The following is a 13,761-nucleotide window of genomic DNA, read 5'->3' as shown; positions in this document are numbered from 1 at the left end:
TTGATAGGTTGCTCTGTAAGCTTCTAGCCCACTTCTGTAGTATGTAAATGTATTTAATTTACAAAATGGAATCCTCTGCAAATCCAGTCATAAACAAATGTCTCTTTGAAGCTTTTTAAAATTGTTTATATATATATTCATATACTATTCTTTTAAAGATTACATAGTATTTGACTTTATGAATGTGACGTAGCTTATTTGTTCATTATTTGTGGACATTTAAGTGGATTCTGTATATGGTGGTACAATGAGCATATTTTACGTGGAGACATTTAGAGCCATCGATACGTTTTCTAAATGCCTAAAACAAATTTTCTCCTTCACAAAGAATTATGAGAACTGCAATTTTGGCAAGGATTACAAAATAATTATCCTGTACACAGAAACATTTAGGACCAAGGTTCCACAATGGAAGTCATTACCTCTGCAGTCAATTAAGTGTACTGAGTTCCTTTCCTTATGGGGGCCCAGTGTGCAATGGCTGCAAACAGCAGCTTCCTTGGTGGTGTATGCAGCCTGTTTCCTCTATAGGTTGCTCTAAGGGACCTTGATAATAGGCCTTTCAGATGTATGTTCATGTCTCTGACCTTGCATTACCCCAATGTAGGCTTCAAACAGGCATGCGAGGTGCCTTTGGAAAACCCCAGGGCACTGTGGTCAGGGGTCACATTGGCCAAGTTACCATGTCCGTCCGCACCAAGCTGCAGAACAAGGAGCATGTGATTGAGGCCCTGCACAGGGCCAAGTTCAAGTTCTCTGGCTGCCAGACGATCCACTTCTCAAAGAAATGGGGCTTCACCAAGTTCAATGTCGATGAATTTGAAGACATGGTGGCTGAGAAGTGGCTCATATGGCTGTGGGGTCAAGTACATCCCCAGTTGTGGCCCTGTGGACAAGTGCCGGGCCCTGCACTCATGAGGGCTTTCACTGTGCTTCCCCTCTTAATACTAACCAATAAATTCTACTTCCTCTCCAAAAAAAAAAAAAAGAAAGAAAGTCATTACCTGTCATTTGTTGGCTATACTTGGAAAGAAATCTCACAGGCATACTAAAGAGAGTGCAGATGAGTTTTCCCTTCTGCTGGTGGCAACTCTTCTTACCGTATCCTTTTAGGTGTGTAGCGTCAATCACTCTGCTCCATCCTGGATTCATCAGACAATCGAGAAAACTCATTAGTTTAGATGACCAATCTTTATTTAGTAAAAGGCAAAAAGCGAAGCGCAAGGAAGCCAAGTCCAAACTAAATTTGCCAATTTCATTTTCCTTTTAACCAATTTACTCGGTTAATAGGAAAATCTGTGGCCATTTGTACTCCAGTTGTCTTCTTGTAAGAAAATGATAGTGTTTGGTTATGAATCTAAATTAGTCAAATTATAATCTAAACTGTCTTAAAATATCTTCATTATATTGCAAGTATGATGTTTCAAAATATAGGTATTTACTATTCAGAATACAGATGACTTTACATTTTTCAAAAGCTGGAATTTCACACTATGTAGAAAATTCTTGTTTTAGTGTTTTTATTCACTTATAGTTTGTGAATAGAAGACTTTGCCATAGAATTTTGAAACTTAGGAGTTTACTTACTAAGGAAAAAAAAAAAACTCCTTTTCAGTCTTCAGTCATTTGGCTTAACAGTCACAGATTTTAATTTTTAAATCCTTTATATGAAAGCATTTTTAAAACCAAGGGCTAGTTTTTTTGTTTTGAATAAATAGGGGGCCATTGGGAGGGGGATTTCACGTTAATTTATACCATCAGTACAAAACTTGTAAAATTCATTGCTTTGTGGAATTCACTTTATCTTTCTACATTCTCAGAGGCAGTTTTGGGGAGCCAGAATTACAGAATTAATCTAGCTAAAAATGCTCTTTAACAGCTTGGTTTGCAGTCTGTTTGTGCTCTTGTCCTTTGTGTTGATTTGGTAATTCTGTACAGATTAAGATGTGTTAATGGATTATTTATCTTATTTGTTGTGAAAATAACGACTCTCTCTTTTTAAATTTTATGGTAGAATGAACATTTATTCTTGATTATAATTTATTGAATAATAGATACTTATCATTTACAATTAAGCAGAAGTTAAAATGTGGTAACTGTTGAAAATTGAAAATTAGACAGCTATCCCATTTTAAATTGATGGGTGCAAAGTGTGTTTCTTTCTCTTAGGTTACCATTCCATCAAATACAATATCTGTGAATGGAAGGTCAAGACTCAGCCATTCCATGTCCCCTGATGCCCAGGACGGCCATTAAATGTTACCCTGCCACACCACTGCACTTCACTTCCACTTCAGACCAACTTCATACTAATGGAACATTTTGGCAAATGTATATTCAGATGTACACTAATATATTATCTATTAAAATATTAGAATTTGTGTTGTGGCTTTTAATGCCAGAAGAAAAGTTACCAGAATTTATAATTTATAGTAATTTTTTGATCTTTTTTTTGCCTTAAGAGTTGAATATGCTGCTTTAGAACTTTAAAACAAGGTGTAAATGATTTTCATTTTTTACAAATGAAAAATAATTCCTTTGTATTGATTTCACTTACCAGCACATTCTCTACAATGGTGACTTAGACAAAAGTATAAGATTCATAGACTTTATATTTGTATGACATACAACTAGGACAAACATAGATATGACATTTGCTGCCTCAGTGTAGCAATTGGAAATATTTATAAGTTATATGAAAGCCTGTTTTGGGCTGAAAGAATGATTTAGAAAACTAGTGATACCAAATAAGTATATTCAGTTCAATAATTATTTTCAATGATGAATCACTTAGTGTGAAAGACTTGCCTTGTGTATTCTTTATGTAATTACAAATCACTGTCAATTTTATGGGAAGCTCATAGTATTTTAATATTTTATTAACATGGAACTCTTGTTTTTTTAATCTTTAGAACTTAAATTCTACAAGAATTTTAAATATTTTCTGTATATAATTATGACATTGTCACACAGAAATTACACATTTTATGTGCCAGAAGCCTTAAACATCTTTCTGTGAAAATGCTGATATATTGTGACAGTTATTTCACATTTGATATGTAGAGAGGAATAGGGGTTAGTTTATGTTTATATTGAAAAACTTTAAAGACTATTTGGAAGTTCCAGAAATTCTGGTTTTAATTCAAGTAAAATGATAAAATAGTCATTATATAGTTCAGATGCTAATATTCTAAGTAATAATATATATTTACATTGAAGCTAAAACTGTTAAGCAAAACAATGCCCATTTGTCGGCTTACAGCTCTTCCGGAGTCTAGAGCCTGTTGGTGTTCTGTCCCTACTTTAAGAATTTAATTGCTCACTTATTCTGAAAGCTTTGTTCAAACAAGATGATATTAAATTTGTTTTCACTAAAACTACTGGGATATCTGCCTCTTGGGGATTTTTTTTTCAATTTAATAAAAGCAAGTTGTATATTTGGGGTGCTTTTTAAAATATATAGTTTGTGTCAACCAGCATATTTATTTCCCTTACCTGATGCATACATTTCTATTAGCCAGTGAACAAACAAGAAATTTGTAAGATTTACCATTTATCAGGGATCCCTAGTGTACATTTAAGCCCTGGCATTCTGACTCCAAAATGCATGGTCTAAGCATTTAAAATGTTTAGCATAGTTCCTGATACATGGCATGGCCATCTTAAATGCTAAATGTTGCTGCTGTTTTCCTTGAATCAGTTGGAGAGACCCTCATATATAGATACTTAAGTTATGTTGTTATAAGCAAGTAGAGAAAGGAGTGAATTTTTTTTAAAAAATTGTGTTGTCATAATTATCTACTTATAAAAATATAAATTTGGATCCCTAATTTAAACCTTCATATATTTTGAGTTGGATTGAAGACTTAAAGACAAGCGACATGTAAGATGTTTTCAATATATTAATATATAAGAAAGGCTTAATTTATGAAGATATGAAAGTTCCTACAACTCATGATAAGTCTACCTAATAGAAATATCAGCACATTATTCTTACAAGAGGAAATTCAAAAGGCCAACAAACATGGAAAAAAAATACTCTTCACTGATAATCAGGGAAATACAAGTTAAAAACATGGAAAGGTACCACATCAAATTAGCAAAAACGGAAGTTTCAAAATAGCAAGTGTTGTCAGGAACATCAAACAGTGGGAACTCTACTGTTGGTGGGAAAATACACTGGCATAACTACCAGTTCTGCAATATCTAGTAAAATTAAAGATTCCTTACCATGTTACCTTAAATAAGTACTTATGCACATGCATAAGGAGACATCTGCAAAAATGTTCACGGCAGCCTTGTGTAAAACAGCAGAAAGGGGTCCTAACCCGTGCTCAGCTTTAGTAATGCATATATTCATATGATAGACTTCCACACAGCAGTCCAAATGAACAAGCTAGAGCTATATATGTCAGCATGAATACATCTCAAAAACAAGTGACAAGAGTGAGTGGTGGAACAAGTCGTGTTTTATGAAATTAGTTACATAAAGTATAAATATAAAAAATGATACTATAAATTATGGCTGTATATGTAGGAAAAAAATTTGCTGGTGGTTACCTGTGGGAACCAAGAAAGACTGAATTGAGATTTATAAGAGGCATCAATTGTGTTCGTAGTATTTTATAAACTGCTGTTTGAAAACAAGTGCTTATTATATTCTAAATTCTAGTATACTTGTAGTTTATAATTATAATAAAATAATGTTTTAAAGGTCACATAGGATTTAGGGGGCTATGTATATAAACCATTAATACATGTATGTTCTGAAAAGTTGCCTTATCGACACCATTTTAGGAGAACATGTGCTATCCTGTCAATGGGGAAAGAAATTTGTGACAAGTAGTTTTCACTCATCATATCCTAAAATAACAGCACAAGGAAGATACAGGAATGGTCTAGAACCAACTTTTGACTTTCATGTATAATTTTTAGCATCTAGGCATTTTGCTTTTCCTTCTTTCCTCCAATCAAGTTATTTATTTATATAATATTAAAATTATAATTCAGATTACATATATATGATAGAGTATAAAATACATTCTTTTTCATCCCCAGCATCCCACTCTCCTCTCCAAAGATAGCTGTTAATATTTTGATATGAAGCCCTATATAGATGTATTTATATGAAGTACATGTGTGCAGGTTTGTTGGGGGCTTTTGTGTGTGTGTGTGTGTGTGTGTGTGTGTGTGTGTATGTGTGTTTCTTAACATGAAAGGAGGTCACACTCTAATACTATGTAACAACTTGCCTTTTATACCAGCAGTGTTCTGGAAGAGCTTTTCTTTTTACACATACAGATCGATCGTATTTCTGTTAGCCATTCTATTGTTTCTTGCTGCGGTACATAATGTTGGCTGGAGTGAAGAGATTGGGGTTCAGATCACAAGTCTGCCACTTATGAGTCATGGGATCTTGGGCAAATTACTTTCTCTATGCTTCATTTTCTCTTCTGAAAAATGAATTAATATGAATAAAAATGAACCTTATTTTAAAAACGGCAGGCAATTCATCTTTTAAAGTTACCTGATGTCAATACTATAAGTGAACAGGTATTATTTGCCTAATATACTCCCTATTCTTTGAGGAGTGACCCTTCTTCCGATTTCACCTCTTCATGAACTGCCAGATCTGGCCTTGGCCACTAGGCACTGGCAACAGCATACACACTCTGTCATCTTATCCAAGTCCTTGAAATGAGACCAATCTTTGTCCTGAGACTTAGTTACTTATAGGTGCTTAAAACCCAAAGCGTCCCAATTGATACAATTATGTATGTGTCTAATTCCAGTTTACTTTGTACCCACTACCAGTAGAGAAAATAAGTATCAAAGAACTAAGAATCAAACTCATCATTTTTAAAATCTACTGATTTTGATAACTGACTTGAAAGAAAAGAACTTGCAATTAGAGGTCATAGTGAAGATTTCCAGGGTCAAAGTGATTTCTGAGGTTTTAGATGTAAAAATATCTCCTATTTATTTGCTATTTCAGAGTTGACAACAAGATTTTTATTTGATCCACATATTTAAAAGGTGTGCAAAGATTGCTACTTTACAAAGGTCACAGAAGCAGAGGAGTCTCAGAGTCCCACATCCAATTACTAATTTGTTCTTCCCCATGACTAAATGTAGCAAATGATGAAGAAACTGGTGCTAGATTTCAAGGGATACCAGAATAGGAAGTTATTTGTTCTGAATCTTCAGTTGGTTTTCCTTTTCTCTTAAATGTTACCACTTTCCTGCAAATTTCCATCCTTAATATGTTAGACTGTTCATATAGATACATTGTGTTTACAACAAGGAAAAAATGCCACCATGTGCTCAGAACTTTTTTGACAGGTATTTTGAGAAGAGTTGTGGAACATTCTGGTAATTTGTAGAGATCTGTTGGCATCTCTGCTTCACAAACTGGAAAAAATCATTTGTAAGTCTTGCTAATTACTTTTCTTGGAGAAGAAAAAAAATGCTACAGTTGCAAACAAATGTATAGTTTTCAAAAAGAAGCAACTTTTTTGCTCCCCAGTTTATTCTTAGTTTCCAGCCCACGCCTTGCGATAGCGATAGGCATAGTGATGGCCTCAATTCTTTCTCTCTTGCATCCATACCTTTTGCTGTGATAGCAGTGATGGCCTCAGTTCTTTCCCTCTCTTGCATCCGTACCTTTTGCTGTGTGACTTTGCAGCTCCTCTCATTAAAGAGGCAGAGCCCCCTCTCCCACCCATAGGAGCAGGTTTTGAGAGTAACAGAATGAAGTGAAAATGACACTGTGCCAGTTCTAAGACCAGCCCTCAAAGGTTCATGTGTTTCTGCTTGCTTTCACTGTATTTGAAATGTTGCTGTGAGAAAGACATCTCTGAAACAGCTGAATGGTCCTAAGAAAAGGATGAGAGATGCAGGGAGCAGAGCTCCCAACTGAGGCCAGCCTAGATCACCTAAGAGCCAGGCCCCCAGTTTACTCTGATGTGTAAGCAATAAATGCTTACCCCAGCAATACCACCAAGGTTTGTGGTTGGTTTATATACAGCATTAATGTGGCAATAGGTGCAATACACCCTGTTAAACAAACCATACACATATGACTCTAACCCTAATCATAAATTGATTCAGTCTGTTCAGTTCCACAACGCTGTTTCCTCCAGAATCTCACAGATGACTTACTAAATCCAACACAAATACACCTCAGACTTTCTGTCTAGCTCCCAACCAGTTAAAAGCAATTCTAAATATTTTTTTTCTTAGTCGTAGTGCAAAAGTATATTCTCTCCCTTTCTCTATAGTTTTCTCTCATTTTGTCTTCAGACCTAGAAGCATGAGAGCCCAGCTGTCAAAGTCATCTAGACCCCCTTCAGAAGGTCATTAAATTTGTCTATTTCACAGGATTGCAAGATAAAATACAGAATGCCCAGTTAAATTTGAACTTCGGATAAACAACAAATTTTTTTTTAGTATAAGCATATCCCATACAATATTTGGGATATACTTATATTTTTATATTGTTTATCTGACGTTCAAGCTAACTAGGCATCCTGTATTTTTCTTAGCTAAATCTGGCAACTGTGCTATTTCATTGAAAACCTGAAAGTGTACAAAGAAGGAAGAAGCAGAATCTGCCATATGAGTAATAGAAGTGAGCAGGCCCAGGACTCCCTAAGTCAAGAAACCAAGAGGCGTCATTACGGAAAAGAGTAACTCACCCTGTGTGCTCCTTGGTAGTTCTCCCTCAGCGATGCCCCCATGTTATGAATGGGGAAAAGTTCACTGAAGGGTTCATAGTGAAGAAACTTTTTGGATGATTTCTGTTGGTGGGTTTTGGATACCTTCAAGGGATCAGAAAATAATATACTTAGGAAATTTTGGTAATGTCATCATTACTCTCTACATTATTATTATGACGGTTACAATTGTTAAATCTAGGTGGTGGGTATGTGGGTTATATTGTACATGATTTTTAACTTGTCTGCATGTTTGAAATTATAATAAAGTCAATAAATAAATTATTGAGACACTCCTGTTACAGTGACCGATTGCACTCTATTCATATGGATAAAGACATTTAATTTGTGGCCATTTGTTCTCCTTCCACCCATTAAGAATGTTAGTCAAGTCAGGATAGATGATTGGAGGCAAGTAGGAATTTGGCAAAAGCATCTCACTATTAGCAAAGTTAATTAAGGGTGTTATGGTTCAGTTTTAACTAAAAAACACCATACACTGCAAGATCTGATGGAGCACAGTATTATTATTATTATTATTATTATTTATATTTATATTTTAAGTTCTGGGATACATGTGCAGAACATGCAGGTTTGTTACATCAGTATACATGTGCCATGGTAGTTTGCTGCACCCATCAACCCATCGTCTACATTAGATATTTCTCTTAATGATATCCCTCCTCTAGCCCCCGCCCCCACCCCCCGAGAGGCCCAGTGTATGATGTTCCCTTCCCTGTGTCCATGTGTTCTCATTGTTCAGCTCCCATTTATGCGGTGTTTGGTTTTCTGTTCTTGGAACACGGCATTATTTTTAAGAGGGACGAGAGAAATAGGGAAAATGAAATTTAAATACCAGTTCTCTACCATTTACTCTGCTACATGTCCCTTGAGGTAGATTTTTATCACATTTTACTCATGAAGTTCAGAGCACCCTAGGGTGGTGCTGGGGTTGAAGACATATTTGATACCATGGCCCCATTTTTTTCTGCTATACTCTGCTGCCTTATTCCAATTGTAACTGTGTACTTGAACAATCTTCAAAAAGTTTTTTTTTCCTTTGCAATGAGTACCTCATAAATTACGTTTCTAATCTTTGTAACCTTATCTCAGTTGCCTAAACCGGAGAAAAATCATAATGAAAGTGACCAGTATTTCTCCAAGACCACTTATTCTGCCATTTTGAAACCTGATGGATGGCTGGTAATTTGTACGAGGTGTTGCACCACATCCCCTATAAATATGGGACACCTCCTAGAATTTTACTAGGCAGGGTGCTTTAGAGAAGTATGGCCTTCTTGAGAAGTCTAGAATCAAAGTCAGAGGAGACAGACATAGAAATGTGGAGAAACATAATCCAACAGTGCATGAGATGTCCCAGAGAAATATTTGCTAAATGCTAGAGGCTGCGAAGACATGATGTAAAGGGACTGGTGATCTGGACTTCCAAAACTGGGTGGATAGGAGTTGGTAATGTGAATATAAGAGGAAAGACTCTGAGGGCATGCATATGGTGAGTTTTATTAACAGTCTGCATTATTCTGGGGTGACAAGTTTGTTCCTTTATTTGATGAACATGCGTTGACCATTTTCTTTCCAACAGGCACTGTGCTGGGTCATAAAGAAACAAAGACAGCTAAGACAATTTTAGTCCTCCAAGAATTATAGACTAGTGATGGTTCATAAAACACGGTCATAAAAGAAAACTATGCTAGAAACGTAAGTTGTCCCTTTTTCCACTAGGTCATTTGCCTTTTTTCAGAAGTGCTTTATATATTCTTGATACTAGCTCATTATTAGTTACATGAATTTAAATATTATCTTCATGTTTGTGGCTTATTGTTTATTTAAATTGTCTTAATGAAAATTTCTTATTAACATAATTGAATGCATCAATATTTTCTGTTATGGTTAAGATTTTTTGTATTATGTTTAAGGATTCCTTTTCTACCCTGAGGTCAGACAGGGGCATTCATTGGTATTTTATTCTGAAAGTTTTAAGGCTTTGCTTCTTAAATTTAAGGTCTGAATTCATCTGAAGTTTTTTGTATGGTTTCAGATAGCAATCCATTTTTCTTCTTGCTCCCTATATGAATAGTCAAATTTTTTAACTGTATTAGTTAAATAACCATGCCTTTCTTCAGTGATCTGACATATTATCTCCATCATTTTTGATGATCCCTAAATTCCTAAGTCTATTTTGGGGCTTTTATTTTCCTGTTCCATTGGTCAAAATGTGTATACTGCACCAATATTACTGTCTTAATTACTGTAACTTTATAATAAGCCTTTATATCTTGAAGAAAAGTTGCTCGTTTTTCTTCTCCTTCAGAAATGTCTTGGCTATTCTTGCTCTTTGCTCTTCTCTGTAAATTTCAGCATAAACTTAATTTCCATAATATATGACTGGAAATTTTACAGAAGAGTTAATGTGTCTAACTAGCAAACACGAAGAAAAGCTCAGTGTTAGCAGTTAACTGAGGGAATGCAAATCAAGACCACAAGGAGATAACAATTTGAGCCTATTGACAAAAGTTCAGAAGTCTAATAATACTAAGTGTTGGAGAGGATATGGCCCAGTATGATCTTATCCACTGTTGGTGGGAGTATCAATTAGTACAAACACTTTGAAAAATAAGAGGGAATTCTATAATATCTAACATTTGCATATATCCATTTATCTCTCTAGATCTAGATCTTAGCCCTCTCCACCCTGCACTGTGTTCTTGGAAGGGGATCATGAATGGTTTCCTTGCATTCTGCCTTCTGATTTGGTTCAGCCAATGAGAGACCATGGCAAGACATTTGTGAGAAGGGTAGAGAGTCAGGTCAAGGTTCTTAGTGAGATCAACTCTTTCTCTGCCAGTTTGTTAACTGAATTCTACTGAAAGCTAGAGCTCTGTTGAGTAATCTTTTAAAGCTGCAGCTACCCTTTTGAGATTAAGTAATAGCTCCCTGTTTGTGCCTTGTTAGGGCTAGGGATGTTTAAGGATCCTTGCCCTTGCTAGTCCTAGCATGTTTTGTTGTCCCATAATAGTTCTTTTTTTAAACTTTCCTCAATTACACAATTTGATCTTGTTCCTACCAGTACCTTTGCTGGTACAACCTAAAACTCAACAGTTTCACTCTTAGGCATTTACCCAAGAGAAACCAAAGTAGGTACATTTTCCAGAAGACATGTTAAGAATGTTTGCAGTACGCTTTGGATGCTTTGGTAATAGCAAAAAAAAGAAAGAAAGAAAGAAAGAAACAGCCCAAGTTCCGATGGGCACAGATAAATAATAGTAAGCAAATGTCAAGGACAAAAATTTTGAAGAAAGCCACAGAAGGCAACATATAAAATTATAACCTTCTTATAAAATTAAATTAGATGTACATATGTTTGCTAAGAGTTTTTTAAAAGGAGGCTTGATAAACATTAAATTTAGGAGATTGGTTACCTGTGAGAGGGAGAAAGGGGGATAGGATTAGGTTAGGCAAGGGACACATAGGTAAGTTATCAGTGATGTTTATTCTATGATATAAATTGGACAGTGGATTTAGAGATGTTTATTATATAAATTGGTTGAATAAAATAAATGCATAATTAATGTATTACTGTTAAAAATGAATAGCAGGTTTAGAGAGTGTAGAATTCCTCTAAGTAATCCTATGAAGTTTTGAGCAGAAAGGTGACATAATCATAAAATTAATCTGCTGGAAGTGGCCAGAAATTCAGAAGTTAATGATCCTTTGCCAAAATCCAAGTCTGATTTTGATGGGATTCTGGCTCTAGACTCGTGGCAGAAAAAGGGGGGGAAAAAAAAAAAGCAGAGTTAAGAATCGATGGCATATTTGGTGGAAATACAGAAGGCAAAATGAGAGAGGACTGAAATATGAGGCCAAGAGTTGGTAATCTGGTACAGATTTTCCATCCCAGAATTATTGAAACCAGCATTTTAAATGTTTCATTTTAAGGAAATATGAAGAATATTTAACCATTTGATGCCATCTCTATATTGGCTACATTTATGCCAAATGATATAGAATGCCTTCATTTCTTGGGCTCTTCCCAGTCCTTACTGTTTTCTGGGAATTGAATACAAGATCAAAGCTGAGACTCTGCAAATAAAGGTCAGGTTTTAGCTACATCTACAAGATCAATTATATTTTTTATAGCTGACAGATATTATCCAAGTTGTGTGTGTGTGTGTTTATATGTGTGTGTTTAGTGAAAGGAGTACCATTAAAAGATATAAAGGCACATCCCAGCTAAAAAGATTAAAGAATTTCTATTCAAAATTATGGTATACATTATCTCTGCTTGAATGTCAACCATTCTTAAATTCGGAAAACACTTCTATACTAAACATTTCTCTTAAATATTTAAATGTTAGTTTATTTACTGCATTCAATAAAAATAGCAAAACTTATTAGGGAATTCAATCCTGTGGGTTGAGTTGTTAATCCCTGTACTCTATTTATACAATTATTTTTCAGGTTTCTTTCCTATTTTTATCTTGTCCTTCAACTGCAGTATAGTTCACGGTTGCCTATTTTTAGTGCACTCAAGTACCACACCATGGAAATGCTGTCACAGTTCACCATATAACCACAGCAGTACTGGACCGCACCTTGCTTGGCAGCAGGTGGCCAGTGCTTATGTTATCTGTCTTTCAATTTAAAGGGTGAGTCCCAAGTTTTCTATTCTCCTACCATAAAGAATACCCATGTCATTGTGGAAGAAAAGAAAAGCAATAAAACATTTTTATTACCCCTGTATTTTAGAAGAGACCTCAAAAACCTAGTCTAAATTTAAGATAAGACATTTAATACACATGCCAAAGATAAAGTAAGTCATTTTTAGCAACCTTGGGACTTTCGGCTCACTTTTTGTCCCGTCCTCATTTGGGGAATCCTAAAAAATCATTTTGTTTTATTTTTTAAGAAAAATCTCAGAGAAATGAGTTTGACTTCTTGAAGATTCTTTGGCAGCTTTCTTTTCTTTTTTAAATTCTTGTCTAGATGAGCTGTCTGCAGAACAAGCCTATATTTATTTAAATATAAATTTAAAATCTGTGCCTCAAGCCTCTTTGATATCTGAGATGGGGCCAAAATGACAAGTGTGTTGAGAGATATCTGGTTAATATTTTTTCAGATTATCCAAATCAGCTCACTTGTAGAAGGCTGACAGTGGGATTAGAAGAAAGGAAATCAATATGTAATTATGACATGGTGCTGTGGTATGAGACAACGGTGTATTTGAAATTGGTTTCCTCCTTCCCAACCATCAGTCTGTCAATGCCATCTGTTGCACAATGTGAAGAACAACTGAGCTCATCGTCAACAAACACTGGCTGTTGGTCTCCTCATTTTTTTTTTCTGAAGTACTTGTCTTTATCAAGACAAAGGTCCCTGAAGCATCACAAAGATTTGTGCCTTAAGGAATGTAGCACAATGAAATTAAGATTGTTTTCTTGAAACTTTTAAGTGGTCATAAAGAAATAAGAATAAAATGGAGAAATGAATTATTCCAAGGATGCCTGCCCAACACAATGTCACAGATATGAAATTTCACTTGCTTCATTTAAAAGGGTATGATTCAGTGTAGAAATAACAAAGATTTCAAATCTCAGTTACCAACATGTGGAATAGCAGTGTACTGTGTGGCTTCCCTTGGTTGCAATAGCAGAAGAAAATTACGCATGAATGTTTAAAGAGATGTTAGAACTATGTTATATTATTCATGCTATACCTTCTTTTAGCACTTAACATAATTGTAGTGTAAAAGCTGTTTACCCAATTTTTCCCATGAGGGTAGACTCCATATCTATCTTGTTTGCCCTCTATCCCCAATCCATAACACATCATAACAACAGGAGCTTTTGCCCTTACCATATCTTCATCTAAATGCTTCATTGATGTTAATCATTTAATAAAAAATAACAGTAGGTATTATTATTACCTCTGTCTTATAAATGAGGAAGCTGAGGAACAAGTTATCCAAGATTACATATCTAGTAAACAGAAAGCCAGAACATGAACCCAGGCATTTTGACTCTAGAGT

The 13,761-nt window shown here is 35.1% G+C and overlaps 1 protein-coding gene and 1 non-coding gene across 11 annotated transcripts in view; both read left to right on the top strand.

Annotated features, from left to right (window-relative positions):
* The window catches only part of COBLL1 (cordon-bleu WH2 repeat protein like 1), a 184,146-nt gene that overhangs the window by 153,875 nt on the left and 16,510 nt on the right, over nt 1–13,761 (top strand). For 9 of the 10 annotated variants that reach the window (NM_001365670.2, NM_001278460.2, NM_001278458.2 and 6 more), the window contains one exon: nt 2,170–8,014. The exons of the other annotated variant lie outside the window; for it this stretch is intronic. In NM_001365670.2, coding sequence (NP_001352599.1) covers nt 2,170–2,256 — 87 coding nt within the window. In that variant the 3' untranslated portion in view covers nt 2,257–8,014. Of the gene's footprint in view, nt 1–2,169; nt 8,015–13,761 lie in introns of those variants that run through there. 10 annotated transcript variants of the gene reach the window in all.
* SNORA70F (small nucleolar RNA, H/ACA box 70F) lies at nt 425–559 on the top strand. Its single transcript, NR_033309.1, has one exon. It is a non-coding gene; the product is annotated as a small nucleolar RNA, H/ACA box 70F (small nucleolar RNA).

This window comes from Homo sapiens, chromosome 2, assembly GCF_000001405.40.
Source record: "Homo sapiens chromosome 2, GRCh38.p14 Primary Assembly".
NCBI lineage: Eukaryota > Metazoa > Chordata > Mammalia > Primates > Hominidae > Homo > Homo sapiens.
This window is presented reverse-complemented; position numbering and strand designations above follow the sequence as displayed.